At 38.8% G+C, this 22,291-nt stretch overlaps 1 protein-coding gene across 22 annotated transcripts in view, besides 1 other annotated feature; it reads right to left on the bottom strand.

Moving 5' to 3' along the window:
• TPRG1 (tumor protein p63 regulated 1) overlaps positions 1-22,291 on the bottom strand; it is a 328,078-nt gene that overhangs the window by 6,184 nt on the left and 299,603 nt on the right. For 21 of the 22 annotated variants that reach the window (XM_047448032.1, XM_047448034.1, XM_047448028.1 and 18 more), the window contains one exon: positions 8,582-8,735. In XM_047448032.1, the coding sequence (XP_047303988.1) occupies positions 8,582-8,735 (154 nt within the window). Of the gene's footprint in view, positions 1-3,427; positions 3,629-8,581; positions 8,736-22,291 lie in introns of those variants that run through there. The other variant, XM_011512734.4, reaches the window with a different exon arrangement.
• Positions 11,144-11,203: an enhancer, noted in NCBI's record as "active region_20979". NCBI's record gives its function as "activates an Ori minimal core promoter by ATAC-STARR-seq in GM12878 lymphoblastoid cells {active_cell/tissue: GM12878}" and the evidence as "EXISTENCE:reporter gene assay evidence [ECO:0000049][PMID:35858748]".

The raw sequence follows: 22,291 nt of genomic DNA, 5'->3' as shown, positions 1-22,291 counted from the left end.
ATTCAGGAAACTCTTGTTGGATAAGATACTAGGCATTGTGGGCAATGTAGAGGGGATCTGGTAGGTAAACTGAGGATCTAAATGTTACAGGGATCTACCCAATACCAAATAACTAGTAAATGATTGAGCAAGGGCTTGGACTCAGGTCTCCTGACTTAACTCCTGAAGTCCTCTCTTTATAACATTGCTGTTATGAGCAGGAATTATAAAATTCTAATTTTTAGAAAATTTAGTTTTAAAATTCTGATATTTAGGGAAGAATTCATGTTCCTCATTTGCAAAAGGGAGAAAATATTACATTCATTAATTTTTAAACCATGTTCTTTAGAACACTAGATCTCTTCACAGATTGGGTGGGTACATATAATTTATCATCCAAATCTAAATTCTCTGGAAAAGAAAGGAAGTGCTATGTGAATAATGTTGGGACAGCAGGTACCTGAGGCTTCGAGGAGAGGATGTCAACAAAAAGCCAAAAGCCAAGCAGGTAACTTATTTTAGTCTCTTCAATCACATCAGAGCTGCTCTATTTTTATGATCAGTTTTATATATTTGAGTTCCAAGTAAGATTTTACTTCTTTTTAAATGAAAATCACTTGCCTAGGAAACTTCAGCTCTGGCAATCAATGATTTAATCCAAAAAGATCTATAGTGCCGACTCTCCAACACATCTCTCAAAACCAAGCTTAAATCCTGTATCTTCCACAATGCCTTCCCACAAACTCAAGGGAAAAGTTGACCTTTTTTTCTCTTATGTGTTTCCTATACCTATACCTCCACTCAAATATTTCATCTGGTTTTCTATGAAGTAGAGTCACAAATGTGGCTGTCTGTACAGCTAAACCAAAGTTTCTTCACCTTGGGACTATTGCTATTTTAGGCCAGACAATCTTTTGCTATGGCAGAGAATGTCTTCTGCATGTTAGGATGTTAAGCAGCCTCCCTATCCTCCTCCCACCAGATACCAGACAGATACCTCCCTGTGTATAGAAGGAAGTCTCCTGTAATAGAGGGCACGCCCGTCCAATACCCAGTACTTGAAATCACTTGAGAAGTCACGCTGCTGGACAGACTGTATATATCATCCTTGCATATTTTTTCCTGGAATTATCCTCATAGAGACCCTGTGACTATAAATTCAAGTGTGTAGAGACAAATAAGAAGAGGCAGTAGCTCCTTTTTCCTTGCACAAGAGAGGTTTCTACCCATCGTAATTTCCATCCTCATCCTATCCCATGCCTCAACCCTCCTCTCTGAACACATGCAGATATATGCACACACATACAAGTGCACTTTAAACTTAGCTAAACTGAATTAGTCTTTATCAGAGAACATTTTATATACCTTTGTAAGTATACATTTGATATGACAACCGATAATATCTCACTGGGACACTGGGACATTGTCATATGTCCCCCATGGGAAAAATCACCCTCTCTTGAGAACCACTGAACTAAAGGAAGTATAGGATCAGGCAGAGGGGTCTTAAGTTGGAACTATGATACTCACATAGCTGTGTGACTTTGGGCAAGTTATCCAACCTCTCTGAAATTTATAGTTCCTTTGCCATAAAATAAGAATATTAATAGTATCAAACTTATCAGGTGGTTGTAAAGATTAAGTGAAATAAAGTGTTTGTATACACGCTGTGAATGGAGGGGTGCACATACATGCACTTGTGTGCTCACATATTATATAAAGGATTAGGAAAGCAGAATGAGATGAGCCTGAAATTTGGAGTTATATTGCAAAGGCCATAAAGGAAGCTTGTTGCCAGGAATCAATAAATAATAACTGCTTAATCATCACTGACATCATCCTCATCATCATTACCAAACCATGATCTCTTAAAAATCAAAGTATAATTCATCTCAACAATTCTATTGCAACAAAGTCTGGATTATCCAAAGTCTGGATTATCAGGATGCCTTTTCATAGATCAGTAAATCTTGTCCAGTTGGATTACTGAATGCTTCCTCTGGCTTCATCATAAACTTCTTTCCTTAAGAATCCTCTGTAGACTCAAAATCAAAGTGCTAGAAAGTAAAAGTTGGCACTATTTCATACTCAATGAATTTGGCATTTCATTGGAGTCAGATGGACTTCATTTCCAGTCATTTCTAGGAGCCCCTTCAAAGCCAGGGGAGGGCATGGTTACAGAGAGACAAGCAGGGTGACAAGCAGTGCATTGAAGGAGAGGCAGACAAAAGGCCAAGTCCCCGAGCTGGCTCTTGAGCATTTCAAGCACCTGAACTAAATCTATGTGACAGGAACGCTGTGTCATCTGATATGAATGCCACCAGCCACATACTTTTCCCTAAAAGCTTTTATGCACCCACCTCTGGCTCTCTCTTTTATTTCAGTCCCAAATACAGAGGGTCAGGTTTTAACAACTCCAGTTACACAGGGGCTGTGTGTTGGTTAGGATAAAGTATAGCAGCAGTGTGCGTGGTGGGGACAGGGGGGACATCGTATTATTCTTGACTTTCCACCAATTATTTACCAGCCGAGTGCCTGGTCCACAGGTTTGCTTTAGGTGCTGTCTGCCAACAGTTCATTGCCTGGAGTCTCAGTTTTCCTTATTACAACCATCACTGGCTTCCTGTTTACACTGGGTAAAGAGACCAGGTTTCATGCCTGTAGGCCCACATTCCTCAGTTGAGCTGGTTTTCTGAGCCTGCAGGCTACAGGTTTCAGCCTCCCTGTGTATGGAAGGAAGTCTCCAAGTCTCCTGTCATAGAGGGCACGCCCATCCAATACCCAGTACTTGAAATCACTTGAGAAGTCACACTGCTGGACAGACTGTATATATCATCTTTGCACATTTTTCCTGGAATTATCCTCATAGAGCCCCTGTGACTATAAATTCAAGTGCATAGAGACAAATAAGAAGAGGCAGTAGCTTCTTTTTTCTTGCACAAGAGAGGTTTCTACCCATAGCAATTTCCATCCTCATCCTATCCCATCCCCCAACCCTCCTCTCTGAACATATGCACATATGTGCACACACACACAAGTGCACTTTAAACTTAGCTAAACTGAATTAGTCTTTATCGGAGAACATTTTGTATACCTTTGTAATTCGCAGCTTTTAAGCATGTTTCCTCTAATTAAAATGTCTTTTCCCACCTTCTTTGGTGCTTAAATCACCCATACCTTGAGTTTCATATCAAATGTCATCAGACTTGTTAACTTTTGGACTTATCTGTTCCCACTTTTGGGCTCCCCCTATTTACAATCTTAGTACTTTAAATTATAATTTGTGAAAGTCTTTGCTGCCTCCTCCCCCTACGCCGTAAGTATCTGTAGGGCAAAATCAGTTTTATTCTTCTTGGTAATCCAGAATATTGCTCATCATGTAATGGTCACTGCCAGGTAAGTACTCAATGAATATTTGTTGAATTGTTGTAAAAGGCAAACAAAGGGCTAAGAGTATAAAGTTAAATTTAATTGCTAAAACATTGGTTCATTTACATGATCCCCTTGAAAAGATGGATAGAAATACAAGAAAAGAGTACAAATGGTTGGTCTGTAGATCATGATGGTTGTAGGGCACACATAATGCGTTCACTGCTATTCATCAGTTCTGGGTTCAGTACTCATCCTTCCCAGCAGTAGTCTCTGCATACTGTAGGAACCCAGCAAAGCGATGGTTAAAAAAGAAAAGGTAAGGCTATAAGTTGCAAATACAAAGTGGATGAAATAATTGAGGATAATTGAGCCAGGTTTTGAGATACAATATTATACCATATCACATCAATTAATACAAATGTACACACAGTCTCTCTCTTTCTCACCCCCCCTTACACACACACACACACACACACACACACACACACACAATTCTTTCAGGCTTATACCCATTTCCTTGAATATTAGGAAACTGGGTATAACATAGAACTATTATTATATGATTTCAGTCACTTAATCCCTCTGAATAACTGTCCTCATTTTTTTTTAAAGAGACAAAATCTTGCTCTGTCATCTAGGTTGGAATGCAATGGTATAATCACAGCTCACTGCAGACTTGCACTGCAGACTCGAACTCCTGGGCTTAAGCAGTCCTCCTGCCTTAGCCTTCCAAGTAGCTGGGATTATAGGTAACTGGAATGGGAATACTGGTACATGCCACCATGTCTCATTAATTTATTTTATTAAGTTTTTTTAAAGACATGGTCTTACTCTGTTGCCTAGGCTGGTCTTGAACTTCTGGCCTCAAGCAATCCTCCCACCTTAGCCTCCTGAGTCACTGGGACTACAGGCATAGGCCACCACCACACATGGCTCAAGTGTTCTCATTTTTAAAACAAAGACACCTATCCTTATCTTACAGGGGTTTTATTAGTTGAATTACATGAAAATAGTATTCAAATTGTAATCAATAGATATAAAGTATAACTATATAATAGTATACTAGATATTTTTATGTCTCATAATATTAAAAGCAGTGCCAAAAAGCTACTATTTTATTTTATACTTTCACATTGTTTTATATGAGTAACACAAACTATGTATGTGAACAGATTGGAAAAGTTTGGTGAAGCAGGGAGATAAGCAAGACTGTCTGGGAAAAGGCCATTTGACCACCATATCTGCCAGATGTGGAAGTGGTATAGAGTTAGTGAGATGGGAATAGTATATTTTGACATAGCATTGTATAAACTTTACAGCAATTTTATCAATAAATGTTAACAGACTTAGACATAGCGTAAACTTTAACTTGAACGTAATTATATCCATTAATGCTCTTTCTTTGGGTACCTTCCTGACCCACCAGCCCCATGACTACTCAGCTTTGGCCCAATGTTGTGTAATCTCAAACCTATATCACCAGTTCAGCTTTCTGTACTGAGCTTCAGACCTAAATTTCTAACTGCCTGACAACCAACCCTACCCCAAGTTCTACAGAAATGCAACATGTTTCGAATTCAACATGTCATAAGCTGAGTCCCCAAACCTACTTTTTCCAGTTTTCTTCAATCAAATTAATGGAATCACCATCTACCCAATCCTGAAACCTTGTCATCTTTGACTTCTTCATCATCTTCAATATCCTGTCAGTTACTTGCTTTCATTAATTCTCTCTCCTGAATAACTCAAAATCTCCTCATCTTCTTTCCCTTCCTACTGCTCCGAACTTAGTTTAGGCTCTTATATCTATTATCTAAGCCATTATAACTACAGTGGGGACTATGTAACATTAAACTCCAGTTAAACCAAATTACTCTTTATCTAAGAACCTTCTGCATACTCTCATGTACCTCTACTCCTTTTTGCTTGATCCAAACTTCAGTTTCAGTTAATTAGAACTCTTAAAAATATTTGCATTTTTATCTGCCTCCCCTGTTAAGCACTGCCTTCCACAAAGGCAAGAACCTTGTCTCATTTCTGTTGGTATCCTCAGCAACAATCATAATACCTGCATTTTGTTGGTGTTAGAAAATCTCTTGAATAAAGAGATTCTAGATACAGTAGAAGAAATGACTCTGGGTAAGAATAAGTTTGAATATTTTCATGTATTTTAAAATAATAATTTGTTCCATTAGATTGTAAATAATTTAAAAGTGTTGACTGCATAACTCAGCTCTATGTTATTCCCTCCCCGTGAGACAATAGTTTTCTTAAACTGAATTAAATTGCTTCAGTTTTTGATTTAGTTATGCATTTTCCCCATATTCTACTTTTTTCCTATTTCATTCATCAGAGAGATGGAAAAACCAGTTTATTAAACCCTTTTAAAATCTCATGTTTTTGCCAAAATATTAACATAAAAAAATTCTAGATCCCCCAAATTATCTTTCTTCTTATTTATTCTTTTACATTGATATAACTGGGTCTTAATCAAAGCCAATCTTGGAAAATGTCCTAAACATAAATAATATTGTGACATAAAAACCAACAACAAAAGAGAAAATAAGACACAAAAACCTGGATCAAAGTACTCATCCTCTCACATTCCAGATGGAGATCATTTGTTTTCCTAGAGAGCTGGGACTTTGGGTGGCCTTTGAATAAGAAATAGCTTGGCAAATGAAAGTGCCAGACTATTGCTAAAGGAAAAAAAAAAAAAGAGAAAAAGCTTTGGAATAATAATTTAAGGAGAAAAGCCTTAAAGGAAATACACTTAACAGATCCGCGAAGTAGTTTGATTGGCTAAAAGTCAACCAACCAACTCACCGTCTATCATGTTCGTGTGTGTGCATGTGCCTCCCACCTGTTATTCTTACTTCCATCCAGTAAGAGCTACATGAACATCAATTTCCTGTTCAGCCTTTGCTACTGGGAAGGCTAGGGCAAAATCCAATGCTCTAGTCTATTAATTCCATTTGTGGGTATTTGGAAAATAATATTCCATACCCTCTTTGATATTTTACTTTTCATCTTTATTTTTGCATTATTTGATTGTATTTATATATAACAGAATAAGATAAAGCACAATCAGATGTTAGAATGTGACAGTGTTATTTCTCTGCAGTTTATAAAACTTGTTCTTTAATTCCTCACGCTGAACTTCTTCCTGCAAAGGGCATTCAGGGAATAACCATCTAATGCACAAGGTATGAGGAATAAGAGAAGACTTGGCCCAGGAAATGATGGATGTACCAACTAAGGCAGTTAGTATTTATTTTGATTTACAATAAAGTACAATTACTACTAATTCAAAAATATATATTATTTTAATGGTCGGAACCAGATGTCCTTTAAAGCAGGAAAATGTCTTTGGGAAAATAGGTTATTAAGCTCTTTATCTTGGATTAACAGATGTTTTCGGGCGCCTGTAGTCCCAGCTACTCCGGAGGCTGAGGCAGGAGAATGATGTGAACCCGGGAGGCGGAGCTTGCAGTGAGCCAAGATTGTGCCACTGCACTCCAGCCTGGGTGACAGAGCGAGACTCCGTCTTAAGAAAGAAAGAAAGAAAGAAAGAAAGAAAGAAAAAAAGAAAGAAAGAAAGAAAGAAAGAAAGAAAGAAAGAAAGAAAGAAAGAAAGAAAGAAAGAAAGAAACAAAGAAAGAAACAAAGAAACAAAGAAAGAAAGAAACATAAAGTGTTCTGCATTGTTAACAATAATTTTTGAAACAGAGTTTGAAGATTATGGAACAATGCATTAATGTGTTATTATTAATAAGAACTTCTAGAAACAGAGAAGTCTGATATTGCATTTGAAGTTCACGGCAAGAGCATGATGCAAACTCCCACTCTGTCCCCCTGAAGCCCTGGGTGAGTCTGTTCTCATATTCTTGCCTTCAAATAGGTGTTAGGTTGTTCTTATTGGTTGTTTTGTTTTGTTGGCTTTCAGTGGTAAAGAGTCAGGCTAGGGGCTGATGCTGAGGCTTGGGTTGAGAAATTTGAAATAGGAGTGTCCCATAAAGAGTGGCAACATGATCCATATACCAAGCTAGTTTAGTGTCAATAACAGCTTGGAGCCTGAGGGACACCGTGACACTATAAATCCCTGAGGACATTTGCATAATTCTTGAGAGGAACATTGACTTTTCATGGGAGAATAATGTGATTCGAGGTCATTTCATCTATGTATTATGGGGGAATGAAGACTCCATCTAGCCTGTAATCAAATATATGTTGCCTCAAATTCTTTTTAAAATCCCCAGGACCTATCAAGTTAAAATATTTTCACACACATACATATATATTTACACTTGCACGAATAGGTATGTTTAATGCAAGAAATGTAATATATGCCATCAACCACAGAAAGTCTTTACATACAGATTGCCAAGTTTTGAATTCATAGCAAATAAAGAATTGTAATATTCTGAAATGAATGACAGAATATAAAAGTAAACATAAAAAGGACGGAGAAGGTAAGAATTTCTAGGTCTATAAGCGCACTCATATGTATATTTGGTTTTATTGAAAATATAAAGTTTGATCTTTCACTACATTTTCAGCTCCAGCTGTTTTCCTTCTTGACTACTTAGAATGCCCCCGTTCTGCTTTAGATGCCTGGGGGAGGTGAGAGAATAATAGAAAACTGTTCCCTTTAGAAATAAGTCTAATATCTGCTTGATGAGATGAAATTTAAAGACAAAGAAATTGTGAATAGCTTTACACTTCATGGAGTATTTATACACACATCATTCTATTTAACCTTATAATGGTCCAGTGAGGTTGGGAGGAAAGGCAGTGCTCATTATCTTCATTTTAGACGTGAGACTACCAAGTCTCAGAAAGACAAGTGACTTAATCGAGCATGACCATAGAACCTCATCGAACTATGCTTTATACTATTCCACACTTCCATGAATAAAATAATTAGAATGTGATTATATGTGGGAAAGTATATACACCATGTAGGCAATGCATGCAATTAGCAAGCGGAAAGCAGCATGTTATATATAAATATAATGTATATTTACATATAAAAACAGTTTGACTCTTTACTAAAATAAATTATAAACCTATTACCGTTTTTGTCTATATAAATTGCTGGTTTTATTTTATTTTATTTTATTTTATTTTATTTTATTTTATTTTGTTTTGTTTAGGAGTACACGTCCCTAGAAGCACATAGCTCCAGCAACAAAGCTAATCTGAGAGTAATACCCAAGATGCCTCCTACCTTGCAAATTTCAAGGAATTTCTCACTGGTGTATTTCATAGGATGCTCAGTGAAAGTAGCATAAGGAACTTCAGTGGACCATGGGTTCCAGCGGGACAGAAGAGACTGCTCCTCCGGACTCCCCCAGTAGATCCTAAGGCCTTCTCCTTGTCTCCTACAAGAAAGGCGTTTTCCATTAGATTAGTCATTTCCATTTCCAAAAAAAAAAAAATAGAATGTAATACATCAGTCAGCCTTCATATTAACTCCCAACTAGTTAAACTGTTCAAAAGATTTTAGGGGGTGAGAAGAAAAAGGTGAATTAGGTTTTAAAAATAGGAAATTCAAGGTGTTTGGAGGAATTCTATATGGGAAACACCTACTTGGAAATGTGAGTCTGACACTCAGAACAGTGGCTAGAGCTGGAAATACGGATATTGATGTCACACCAAGATTCTGATGGTAAGAATTAAAAGAGAAAGAGAGGAGGTATCAAAGAGGTGAACAGTAACAGAACAGTTCAGGTGGGAGACAGTTTCAAGAAGAAAGGAGCTGCCATGACAATAACAGTTTCCACAGAAGCAATAACTGACTGAGAAAAGACATGGGACTTCTTAAATGGTAGAATATACATGATTTTTGAGGGGGACGCTGACAAATTCAAAATGCTCTGCGACTTCAGATTCTGAATCTCATTGTCCTCTATTCTCTGCACACATTCCATTCAGTGAAATTGCAGCAACAAACATGTCAAAGCTTGTAGAAAGACTGTGCCTGCCCCTCCTGTTAAGTTCACAGTCTTAATCCACAAGATGTGGGAGGAAGCCACTCTGGCATAGCCCAGGCCTGGTCATTTGGTAAACCTAAGTGCAGAGCAAGAGAAAGTAAGCTTGAGATAACAGGGAGAGAACTCATGGTAGAGGAGTGTGGCCACATTGAATAACAAAACCGTGTTTCTGAGGCCTCTTTTGCATGTGTCCATCAGAATTTATGATTTGTGGTTTCAGGTATCTCTGAATGCAAAGAGATGCCCGGAGGTTAAGCCAAACTCAGGTGCCCTGCATTCGACAAGCTTGGAAACTAAGTTGCCTGTAATTCTAAACAGCCCTATGGAACTTCACGGATGTCTCATTTTGTCTAAAAATTAAATCCTGGGATTTCTGGAATGAAAAACCAGAGCTTAATTGTGGTGCCTTCACAAAACTGTCACTTCCTGTATTAAGGAAGGATTCCTTCGGGAATGCTGTTATGGTTTCTGAATGTTTATCCATGTGGAGATGGTATAAGCACAATTTCACACAAATGCATATAACACTCCGCTCCCCAACTGGTTAATACCTGAACTTTTCTCACAAAAGGAAAGTAAAAAAAGTCCCTGAAACATTCTGCTGGCCAGTTATCAGATTTTTGATGATTATATTTGAAAACTGACACCCAACTTTTTTTTGTACTTAATCCTTTGCCCAAGAAGAAAAATGAAAAAAAAAAAAAAAAGTATATAGGAAAAAAAAGACAGAGTTAGGAAAAAAAAGACAGAGTAAAGAAAAATATTGAGAAGAATAGAAAAATAGAAGAAAAATATACCTCTAAAGTTTTCTTTCTCCCTCTCCTTCTCAGCTAGTATACTGGCATTTATTATCCCCCAGCTCTTTTTTTTCTGGCCTGACAATAAACTCTAAACTCAATGAATATTCTATGAGTGCTGGTAAATGGAGCATTCTGGATTGAGTCCATTAAAACAACTTGCACAATGGAATTATTTACTGCTTCATATGTCAATTTATGTGCTGGGTGCAATTTTGCTTTTATCCAAAGGGGATGAAAATCTGCCAAGAGAGCTTGCCTAATAAGTACACATTATATTCTTTTACCTTAGGGAAACCTCAAATGAAGTTTGAGCATGAAATTCAAGAGGGACCCTATTTCTAAATAACCAGTCAATGTGACTATAAAAAGGACCTTTCTCAGAGATATAGTATACTTCCAAATATGCAAGTTCAGCCAACCTTCTTTCCTGAGCTCCAGAGGTGAAAACTAGGAAGATTAATCTGAAGCTAAGTTATCACTCCAAGGGTGGGGCTTCTCAGGCCATCCAGCAAAGCTGTTAGTATCACAGTGCTATGAAAGACGATCATCTTCTCTTTTGTCAAACACCATTAGAACAATCGTGGAGACTGCAGATGCCTTTATGACCAGAAATACTTTATTTAATAGTAACGTACTCACATGAAAGAAATCCTGGGAGGCGACAGAGTGGAGTAAAAGTGCAGTGAGCTGGATGTCCGGGAGTCCTGTGATACAGTCTCGGTTTTGACACTTAACATTGCGTGACTATGGGCAAGCTTATTTCTCTTTCTGAATCTGAATCATTTCTCTTTCTGAATCTTCTGAATATGTCTTCCCATATTTAGAAAAAAACAGGACTTCCTCATCTGTTCTTTAGAATCTCTATATCGAGACATTCCATGACCTCAGTCATGCTGTGTGAATAGTGTAGGTGGTCATGATGCCAGTAACGATCATCTGGTTGCAGACATACAACATCCATAAGCAGTCTTGGGGTATGAATTCTCTAGTTCAGAAGCATCTAATTAGCCCCACTGAGCAGAACAAGTCCTCTACTGCAAAGGTCACAGCAAGTACTATCCTATCATTCCAAGAGGCTTTCAGGACCTACCACAACATTTTACAAACATGGAAAAGCACAAATCAGCTATTTCTCAGTGGAAATGCAGATAAGGTTTATAAACTGTAGAATGTCAGAGCTAGAAGGGCTCTTGGAAGCTATAGCCCAGTGCTTCCTTTCTGTGGATGGAAAAAACTGAGACTCAGAAAGTACCAGAATTTTCCCAAAGCATCACTACAAGACAGGGATGAACTGGCAAGAGTCCTGGTTTCCTGAGACCTCATTCAGGGGTCTTTTCACCATTCTGGGCTAAGGCTACAAAATATATTCAAAGCTAAAGCCCTGCTATTGCATAACATAGCCTTATTTCCAATAGACACAAAGTTAAAAGAATTGCTCTGAGGAGGCTGTCATCATTCATGGGTGAAAAAAGCCTGCCTACGGATCCCAGTCAGTTATCAGAAGAAAACCTCTGTCTCAAAACAAACTATGCATTCTTAAATATACTCAATATGAGCAATTTTGAGACTATAGGAAAATAAGGAAGCACTGGATGTGAAGGAGACAATTACAAACAAGTTAAGTTGTCAGGGTGAGAAGATTGGGTCTTTGGCCAGGTGCGGTGACTCACGCCTGTAATCCCAGCACTTTGGAAGGCTGAGGTGGGTGGATCACCTGAGGTCAGGAGTTTGAGACCAGCCTGGTCAACTTGGTGAGACTCCCATCTCTACTAAAAATACAAAAATTAGCCGGGTGTGGTGGTGGGAGCCTGTAATCCCAACTACTTGGGAGGCCAAGGCAGGAGAATCACTTGAACCCAGGAGGCAGTGGTAGCAGTGAGCCAAGATCATGCCACTGCACTTCAGCCTGGGCAACAGAGCGAGACTCTGTCTCAAACAAAAAGAAGAAGAAGACTGGGTCTTTCTCACTGAGCTGCTATGATGGGTTAATTAAAGTCCTAAGTAAAGGTTGCCAACATCAAATTATCAAGCAAATAAATATTTGGAAGTTTTCTTTCTGAAATTATACTCGGTATAAATCATGACTTTCACTAGCTTGTGTCTTTGGGCATTTCACACCACCTTTCTGATCTGTAGGTCACAATAATTTTGTGAAAAACAGGAGGATAACGGATGATAAAAAGTTTTGTTTCTGTAAGGCACTGTCCCACCAGCATATATTGAGTGTCTACTATGAACCATACTACCCACTCTGTACTGTTAGAGATCTTATATTTTTTATTTTATTTAACCCATATAGTAATTTTGAGCTACTTTTGAAGACATAGATGTAGTTACAGGAAATAAGTTAAAGAATATCACCAGACTTAATCAGATCATCAAGTCAAGAACCACTAGTGAAATGTAATTTTAAAAAAGGGGCAGGGAAAGGAAAAACACCAGAATCACTGGACATAAACAAAACCAGAGAAGCAAATCTCTAGCACAGAGGAAGTATTGGGATGTTTTATGCTTGTCTTCACCTATTGATACCTCTTCTTCCACCTGTATCCGGGTCCAAGGATGCTTCTTATGTGTCAGCTTCTGCTTTCCATCAATGTTTTCATATGTAAGATTTCTACTTGAATCTAAATCCATCAGAAAAACTTCCATTCAGATAGCTTAAATAAGCTCTTCAATTCTCTTTTCTTCAGTCTGAATAAGCCTAACTTCTTAATTATATTTTCTGATGGGTTAAAAGTAATCTTTTAAATCACCTCAGAGCTGATCCTCTAAAACATTCCAAAGTTCTCCATTTTCAATTCCACCATTTTCTTAGCACATTCTCTATGCAGGGTATAGAGAAAGGAATAAGACTCAGTGCCTGAACTCTGTAAGCCCATGATCTGACAATCTATGAGCCGATTTTACTATCAATTTGTTCCCAGACCTCAAAAAGCACAAATAGAAACTTGCAAGTCTCATTTCAGAAATAGAGGATCACTTATTTCAATTATTCCCACTTTCTATCCTCAAGGAAAACAGCTGGATCTGGCCTCCATTCCCACAGTAGTGGAAGTAAGAAGGACAATGTACTCTTTACTTCTAGTAAGTTCCAAAGCCTCCCAGAAAGAGGCAGAGGCAGGGGAAGGGTCCCATAAGGACTTGGTGGAAGAAGGTTTGTAATAGTCATGGATGTTTAGGATCCTAAACTATCTGAGTTGGAAGGCCTTTTGGAGAGGTCAGTTTCCAATTCTTTGATTTTATAGATATGTAACTGAGACTAGAGTTTTCAAAGATCACAGTTCTTACTTTAGTCATGTTAATTACATGTTTCACTCAGTGACTCAGATTCAGAGTTCTACTCAAACACCGTTGTTGGCAGGATAGAAGACCAGAGCAATTACTACTTTAAATCATCATAGCAGACCAATAGAAGTTTTGCTTTCTACACACAAAAAAAGCAAAGACATGCTGAAGGGGTGAGTTTTATACAGTAGAAACTGCTCATACTAGTGGCAAAGCACACAGTCATGAAAAACAAATATGGCTTAACAACACAAAAAGCAGCTACAGGTTGGAAGAAGGAAACACATTCTTTGATAACCAACTTTGTAAGAGAATAAATTATTTTTGACAGGAAAGACTCCTCTCCTCCAAGTTGTTTTTAGCTGAGCTAGAAAATATGCCAGTCAGTCCTCAGTCTGAGTTAATATACTCATTCCGTGCATTCTTCTTTCTTCAGAGAGAAGCCACAGGTCCTCTTGCATAGGGCAACATAGCTGGCTTCCTCTCCCTGGACTTCTCACTCTCCTTCTACCCTGGCCTCCAAAGAGTCTCTGTTAAGGCACTAACCTACCTGTTAGCAAAACTGAATGAGGACACCTAGCTCCCTAGAAGGAAAGATGGCAGCTTTCATTATTACCTCCATCAGCTGCCCCTCCTTTCTACTCATCTCAAATCTCAAAGCTCCACCACAGAATTAAAAACATAGCTCGAGGCACCAAACCGAGATTTATGAGGAAGCACAGACATTAACTCTTGCTCTAAACGCAGGGCGTGTGCTTGTAAGTATGGGTGAGCAAACAGAGGGAGGCTGTGAGTGGGAGGAGGCGGGCGGGCGATGGGGAGAGAGCAACTCAGAACAACATGATCTATTTTCTTAATGTCTCCTTTCCCCCTACCTTAGAGCAAGTATTGTTGAAAGGCAGACTTCTAGGCCCATGAAATGTTAGTCTCTTGCTTATTTAATCTGGACAAAAGCAGGGACAGAGTTGGCACCCTGGAGGGTATTCAATGCTCCTTTGCTCATTGAATGACCTCAGAGGAAATATTTTCCATGACAAGAACCCAAAAGACGCTGGCACAGAGTCAGACAATAAGATTTGCAGAATGTGTTTACATTCTCTCCATGTCCCCAGGCTGTTCCAAACCCATCGGCAGGTGCTGCCTTTATCTGCTCTCTTTGCTCACCTGGCTCCCTCCCAGAAGTTTCCAGGGCCTTTAGCTCAGTGAGATTAACCACTTACTGGCAAGGGTAACCAAGAAATTGTATGGGTTATATTACTTGAGGCAGAGGTAAGTAATAAATAAAGCAGATCGGCAATGTTCATCAAAAAAAGATTCAGGGGCATTGTGGTGTCATTGTAAAAACCTTGAGTGAGAATTAGAAGGCCTGGGTTCAAAAGATGGATCTGCCACTATTCAACTGGGTAACTTGAACCTTTTACTTCTCCGGGCTCCGGGGATCCATCTGTAATATCAGGTAGTTAAAACTAGATCATTTGTAAGATCCTTTTCTACCCCCAATAAATTAAGATCTATGCTGAAAGACCAGAATAATTTGTGTTATGCTGGTTAGACAAAAAAAAAAAAAAACAAGAGTTAACCCAAGGGATAACTTAATGAATATGAGAAATTCTCAGAAGGATACTAAGACCTGAACATTCCTCTCCTAAAAGGTGAAAAAAAGTGATCTTAACCTGCAGAAGAAAAGACTTGAGGTTAAATCAAGAGCAGAATTTAGATCAAGTGAGAGTGAATAATTATAAAAAGGGTTACCAAAAATGGTCACGGAATCTCCCAAACTGAAAGTCCTTAAAAGAGATGTTTATCTGCTTGGGAAACTTTAAATGTGCTTGTCCTAGAGGTGGTCATGTTCATGGCTGAAGAGAGGAAGACAAAGTTTCCAAACCAAAGGTCCAACCTAAGATTTCATGACTCACAATGTTGGAATATATGTGTGTTTGTGCAGTAAATATTTATGCTGAAATAAACATGGCTGCTTACAGTGCCAGGTACATAGAAACCACTTAATGAATTTTTGTTTAATGAAGGTGAATGAATGAGTTTACAGACCAAGTTAGGATGCCTGTCAATTTGAATGTCATATTATTCCATTTTTAGAGTGTTACATGTTATGGTAGTAAGCTCCCTGGACTGGTAGTCAAAAAAAAATGTGGTTCAAATCCTTGCATTTATAGTCACTTTCTTTGTGGTTTAGACTGGGCACTTTTCTTGATGTGCCAATTCCCTCCTTATAAAATAAAGAAGGCACTGGATTGGATAGTGTCTAGAGGACACTCTAACTCTACACAAACCTAACGTGTTTGACCCATCAGAGCAGAGGATTACCAACCTTTGGGTTTCACTTAAATAACACAGAGAAGTATTTTTCCTCAGTGAATTAATTTGGATGAAAGTCATTCTCAAACTTACATACTTATTTTCTTATATTAAAAATAGCTATTTTTAATTACTTAATAAAGTTATCCAAAAAAACACCCAGATTTTAAGACCTAGAAGGGAGTTATTATTCATCATTTATGTCCTGTGTCCTTGGCTCCTTAAATTCACCAAATATAGACTGAAATCTAAATGTTACCCAAATTAATACTCAAAACCCTTATAATACTTTCCTATACTGCTTCCCTTTATGAAAGCCAGCTGTTGTATATGAAGAGTCAGACTATTTGCCTAAAGCTCTAAAAGATTCTTGACTGCTAAGTTTATTGGTTCTTATGTCAGCTGTCTCCTCCATCACCATCAGGCTGCCATTTCTTGCTGCTATCAACATTCCTGACTTTAGCTGCTCTTTTTCTAATTTGTTTTTTCGAAACTTCTATTGACAGGGAAACTAGGAACATACTGTTATTGGGGTGATGGGCAAATGATAAAAATACCCTCTTTCTCAGGCCATTTATTCTAAGGAAAATGCAACAAGTTATTAGAAAAAGCTGTGTTTTCTCAGATGCCATTTAAATGGAAAGCTAATCCAATGAAGTTGACAATAAATAACTTTCGAACAAAGGAGAAGAAACTGGATGCTACTTTAAGTTGTGAGCATCTAAATGGCCTATTTGGAGTCCATGTCTGTCAGAAAGAAACAAATGTCATCCTAGGATTAAAAGTGATAACTTTCTTTCCACTGATGAGGATGACATGAAATGTTGTCATTGCTAGAGTCATACTTCGGCAGACACTGGCATTGTCATATTCTGTACACGGAGCCTCACACCCTGATCCATCCTTCAAACCTTTTAGGGTATAACTCCCTCAATAATGAATAATTAATTTAAGTGGGAACATTTTAAGTAAATCCTTCATAGAAATCCTCCATGAAGTCCAGGGAAATTGCTCCGGATACAATTGTGATGAGGATTCAGAAGAAGGAACAATCTCTCATAGTTAAAGGTATCAAAAAAGGCTTCATTCATTCAATACGTCTTTACTGATCTTTGACTTTGTACCAAGTGCATGCAAGGACCTCGAAAGATATAAAACAAGCCTTCCATAAACTCAGAGCAGCCTAATGATTTTATAACTATGGGGCCTTTTAGCTGGGGTTTGATGGATATAAGGCTTTTGATGAGAAAATAGCATTAAGTACTTTGAAGACAGGAAATCATAAGAACAAAGATCCACATAAGAAAAATTGTATGTGTGCTATGTGCCATAATTTGTATATTTGTGGTGACTGTATTTATGTCCAGTTGAGCTACATGTGAGCAAGCAGGGTGAAGTCAGACAGTCCAGAAGAAATCTACAGAAATTGGTAGAGGTTGCAGGGGAGGGTGCTGTGATTAAACAGAAAAGTGCATGGTCCAGAGCAGTCTAATCCTAACATGGAAGCTAGTGAGGAGTCACTGAGGAGTCAGTAGGGTGTGGTTTAATTAACTGAAAAAATTTGTCTCTAATTGCCAGATGCAAAACTAGAGAACGAAGAGGCATAGTGTGTTCAGAGGTGAATGGAACCCGTGGCTAAGCTGGATGCCCTCCTTGGTCTCCAGGCCAAGAGTGGGGCTGGGCCTTGCTATCTGTCAGCCTCCTGCTGGGTGTCATTAAGAAGACTAGAGGCAAACACAAAAGAGGATAAAATCAAAGATTGGGTGGTAATGGTGATAATGGCAGAAGAAGAAAAAAAATGGAGGAAAACATTATATGAAATATAACCTTTATCTTCAACAGATTCAATGATGGTTGCCACTTCACTGAGTAGCAGGTTTACCAATCTTGCTGCACCTTAATTTTCTGTTAAGTGGAATTAGTTGTATTTTTCTCAAAAACATACTATAAAGTGTTAAATGTAATTTAAAATGTGAAGCCTCTAACAGTGCCTACTAGGCATTCAATATTTGCTAGCTGGAAAGTGTCTTACAGAACACAAACTTTTTTTTTTTTTTTTTTTTTTTTTTTTGAGATGGAGTCTCACTCTGTCACCCAGGCTGGAGTGCAGTGGCAGGATCTTGGCTCACTGCAACCTCTCCCTCCCAGGTTCAAGTGATTCTCCTGCCTCAGCCTCTTGAGTAGCTGGGACTACAGGCGTGTGACACCACGTCTGGCTAATTTTTTTTGTATTTTTAGTAGAGACAGGGTTTCACTGTGTTAGCCAGGATAGTCTCGATCTCCCAACCTCATGATCCGCCTGCCTCAGCCTCCCAAAGTGCTGGGATTACAGGCATGAGCCACCGTGCCCAGCACACAAACATTTTATCATCCATTATCTCATTGTTCTTCATAAATTGTTGATACCTGAAAATTAGAAAGGAATTATGAAAATTCTAAAGGCACAGAACTAGTGAGAGCCAGGATTTACAACCAGATATTTCTGACCCAGAGATAGAACTCTGACCTGGATTTCCGGTCAAGAGCCATGAGCTCTACTAGTAAAGTAGGAATATTGAGGATATCTGAGGGCTGGTTAACAAAGGGGACATTTATTGGCATTGCTGGCAGAAGTTGCCTACTCCCAACAGTGCTCAGATTCTAGGTCTGGACCAGGAATATGTCTTCAGTGATGGAAGTGAAAAGCCAGATGCAGGGATCTGGAGCTTATCTGGTCTAGCTCTGGTTCTTCTTCCTACAAACAGCAAAGCAAATCTGGCAAGAGGAAGAGTAAAATCTTAAGAAGGATAACATTAAGCCTGCTTTCTTTCCAGTTCATTACCCTGGCACTAAACCTGAGTGGGAAGCATATAACAGGATTGAAAAAGACACAATAGAACTTTAACACTATTGACACAACTCTTTTTCTTCTTTTGAAAATTCTTACTTTCTGTAATGAGCATGTATTATTTTTACATGGAAATGATAACCTGCATATTTAAGATGTGTCATCTGTCTTAAGAGCGAGGCCTAAATTGTTCCAGGCAATGCGCTAAGACATCTACATACATTATGTCTAGTTCTTACCATGAGCTCACAAGATAGTTTTATAATCTCTATTTTACAGATGAGGAAAGTTAGGTCTAAAGACATTAAGTAGTAGGTGCTAGATCAGGCACTAGATTTTAGGTCTCTTGATTCCATATCCCCTGATAATCCCATGGTATCCTATGGCTATACAGGACAATGAAGAAAAGAAGCATTTATGCCAACCAATTGTTTGCTTTCCCAGTAAGCATACACGAAGATAATCATTATAGAGTTCACTTTTTTATGTGTGGTCTCTCTTCACCTAAATTAATCTGCTCTCTACCTTGCTCCATAGTGTCACTCCAACCAGCTCAGAAAACTAAAGTGGCTTCCAGTTGCCTACCAAATTCAGAAACACTTTCTCAGCCAGATACACAACCTTTTGAGTAGAATTCTAGCATGCATTTCCAATATCCAAAACCACAACCCCTCACAGCTCCAACCAAACCATTCCACTTCCTGAGCCTGTCTTAAAACATTTGTGATAACTTCATCAATATGAAATTATTCTATATACTAATGTTACATCATCAAATGAACTGTGAGCTGATCAAGAATAGGGTCGATGTCTAAATCATGTTCATGGCCCCCATGATATCCATTTTGCAGTTCATGGTCAAATCGGTTGGACATGAGTAGACCCATGATCTTTACTGTAAAAAAAAAAAAAAAAATACACAACTCAAAATAAAACAAAAATGCCCATTCCTCAGAGCAGAGTGATCTGACTCCAGCTGTTTTTATTTTTCATTAGTCTATATTTCTGAGTTGTTCTGTTTAAAAATGAGATTTTAAAGTGTTTCCTGTTTGTTTGAGGGAGATGAGAGAAATCCTTCATCAATTTTGAGGGGTATGTAACAGATATTTCGAGAAATGCCCAGGATAGAAAGAGTTATACGTTTGCATGCATATAGTATACGGCTTGCTTTGAAAGTGTTTTGCCGCAGATGCTGGCATGTCACATCTATATTGAAGGCTTTCCGTGCCAAGAGGTTGCCAGGTAGACAGAGGAAAGAGCTTCTCTTACAAAGCTACCAAGAAAAATGCTACACAATAAAGGAAACATTTTGAGGCAACTCCCTTCATTATGAATTGGTACATTTGGCAAATCACTGGCCTCAGGTTTGTGTAAATTTTTGTCTCTCCTCTTAAAAGGAAGTACTTTTGAGCACCCTAAAAAAACAAGTTTCAGCATGCACAGAATAACTAAGTAAAAAAAAAAAAATTCTCAGAAAAAAAAAAAACCCATTTTTCTAAATCTCCTGTTTCCATTTCCTCTCAAGAGAGGTTGGGAGTAGATGGTCTGGAATACATACACGGGCAGTTAGACCAGTTAACACAAACTTCTAGCCCTGCTGTCATGGCCCTTGAGGAAACCATGGGTCTGCCCGAGAGGGTGGTGGGTACAGAAGGCTCTGCTTTCCCCACTTTTGGAGGAATTTGAAATGGAACAAATTTCAAGAGAAGATACATGATACATTCATTTGTTTTCTCTTTCAGCTCATGACATTTCCTGAAGAAGTTTATGATATTTCATACAGTAAGTTATATGACAAAGCAAACTTCCACACACATACCCTCTAGGTTTTCCACACACACACTCTCTAGGTTATGGCCCTCATGAATCATTCAAACTGTTGAGCAAGGGTTGGGTATTCTGTGGCCCCTTCCCTGCCAAAGTGAGTATATTCTACCAACCACAGGTGAAACTCAGACAACAAAAATCCCATGCCACTGATGAAGTACTTTTATGTAATAAAAGAAGTCTTAGAGGTCAGAGGATGCAGATCTGAGTTCAAATCTCAGCACCAGCATTACTGTGTGACCTTGGAGAAGTCACTTTAACACTCAGTATGTTTCCTCCTCTGAAAAATAGAGACAGGAGACATACTCAGCAGAGCTAGTGCAAGACTGTTACCTAAAGGGTCTATCTCATCACTGGTTTAAAGCATTTCTTTAACAGAACCCTGCAAAGTCAATCACAAGAAAATAATTTTCTGAGTTATTTTACATTCCTGCTAGCTTTTTTGGCTCCCATCACAACCTGTTAAATCAGAAATTCAGGCGGGCAAAGAAGGAAAATGGTGTAAAATACTAAGCTATGTACAAAGTCAAGAAATGCCAATGTTTCCTGAAATAGAGCTGATTCACCTACATTCCACAGTGTATATTTGCTTTGGGGTAAGTGAGTTAAGTTTTACTTGAAGTTTTTGATTTATCTTCGTGTTGCAATAATATTGCTTTGCATACATATGAGTTTGGGGTTTTATGATTTTGTTTTTATTTAAGATTTACTTCTACCACAGAGCTTTGCATTTCCACCCAGGCCCAGAGCGATAGTTCAGACGGAGACCTGGGATCCTCCCTCCATTTCTCCCAGTCCTAGTGTTCTGTCCCTTAGCATAGCAGGCTTTGCATACATGAATGAGAACAACCAGCCCCATGTTCCCAAGTTCCATACATGAGTCCTCTTCCCAAATGGTCAGTTCTTGGTCACCCCTCAGCCCTATGTCTATGTCCATTGGCAGCACGATATGCTCTTTGAAGGACAGCCCCATTGGAAAAACTCGCACAAGCCCTGCAAGCAGAGGTAGGGCCATCAGGTAAAAAGTTTTAGGTTTTCAGACACTCAGAGCGTGGTTTAGAACAATGCTTGAGAAACTCTAATGAGCATCTGAATCACCTGGGGTTTTCTTAAAATCCAGAATCTGATCCAGCTGGTCTGGAGTGGGCCTGAAATTCTGGACTCTGTACATCTAATGAGCTCCCAGGTGATCCTAACCCCACCTAAGAACAAGTAGTCAGAGGGAGTGGGAGGAGCAGTATGGGATCTGGATTGGCAAATATCCTTGGCCCTGAGGGCTCCTCAGGCCGCGGGGATGGGCACAGCTAGAAAGGGATCAAAAGAAGGGTCATCTAAACTATGCACCTAGGGCATGGGTATTGAATGAGAAGTGAAAGGCATGGTCATTTTTACCTGATTGCAAGACAGGAATCTAAGCAGAAGAGGGTTTATCAGTGGCCGGGCATGGTGGCTCATGCCTGTAATCCCAGCACTTTGGGATGATGAGGCAGGCAGATCACTTGAGGTCAGGAGTTCGAGACCAGCTTGGCCAACATAGTGAAACCCTGTCTCTACTAAAAATATAAAAATCAGCCGGGCTTGGTGGCGCGTGCCTGTAGTCCCAGCTACTCGTGAGGCTGAGGTGGCAGAATCACTTGAACCCAAGAGGCAGAGGTTGCAGTGAGCTGAGATGACACCACTGTACTTCTGCCTGGGTTATGGGAGTAAAATCCTGTTTCAGAAAAAAAGAAGAAGAAGAAGAAGAGGGTTTATCAGTGAATTGTGATGAAAGGCACCCAAAGGCTGCAATTCAGACACTGTTTCTATCATTTAGTGGAGTTATAATACTTAAGTCTTCAAAAAATATTTTTATCAAGGAAACAGACTAGTATAAGGTTTGTTTGAAG

Source organism: Homo sapiens, chromosome 3 (assembly GCF_000001405.40).
Source record: "Homo sapiens chromosome 3, GRCh38.p14 Primary Assembly".
Lineage (NCBI taxonomy): Eukaryota > Metazoa > Chordata > Mammalia > Primates > Hominidae > Homo > Homo sapiens.
This window is presented reverse-complemented; position numbering and strand designations above follow the sequence as displayed.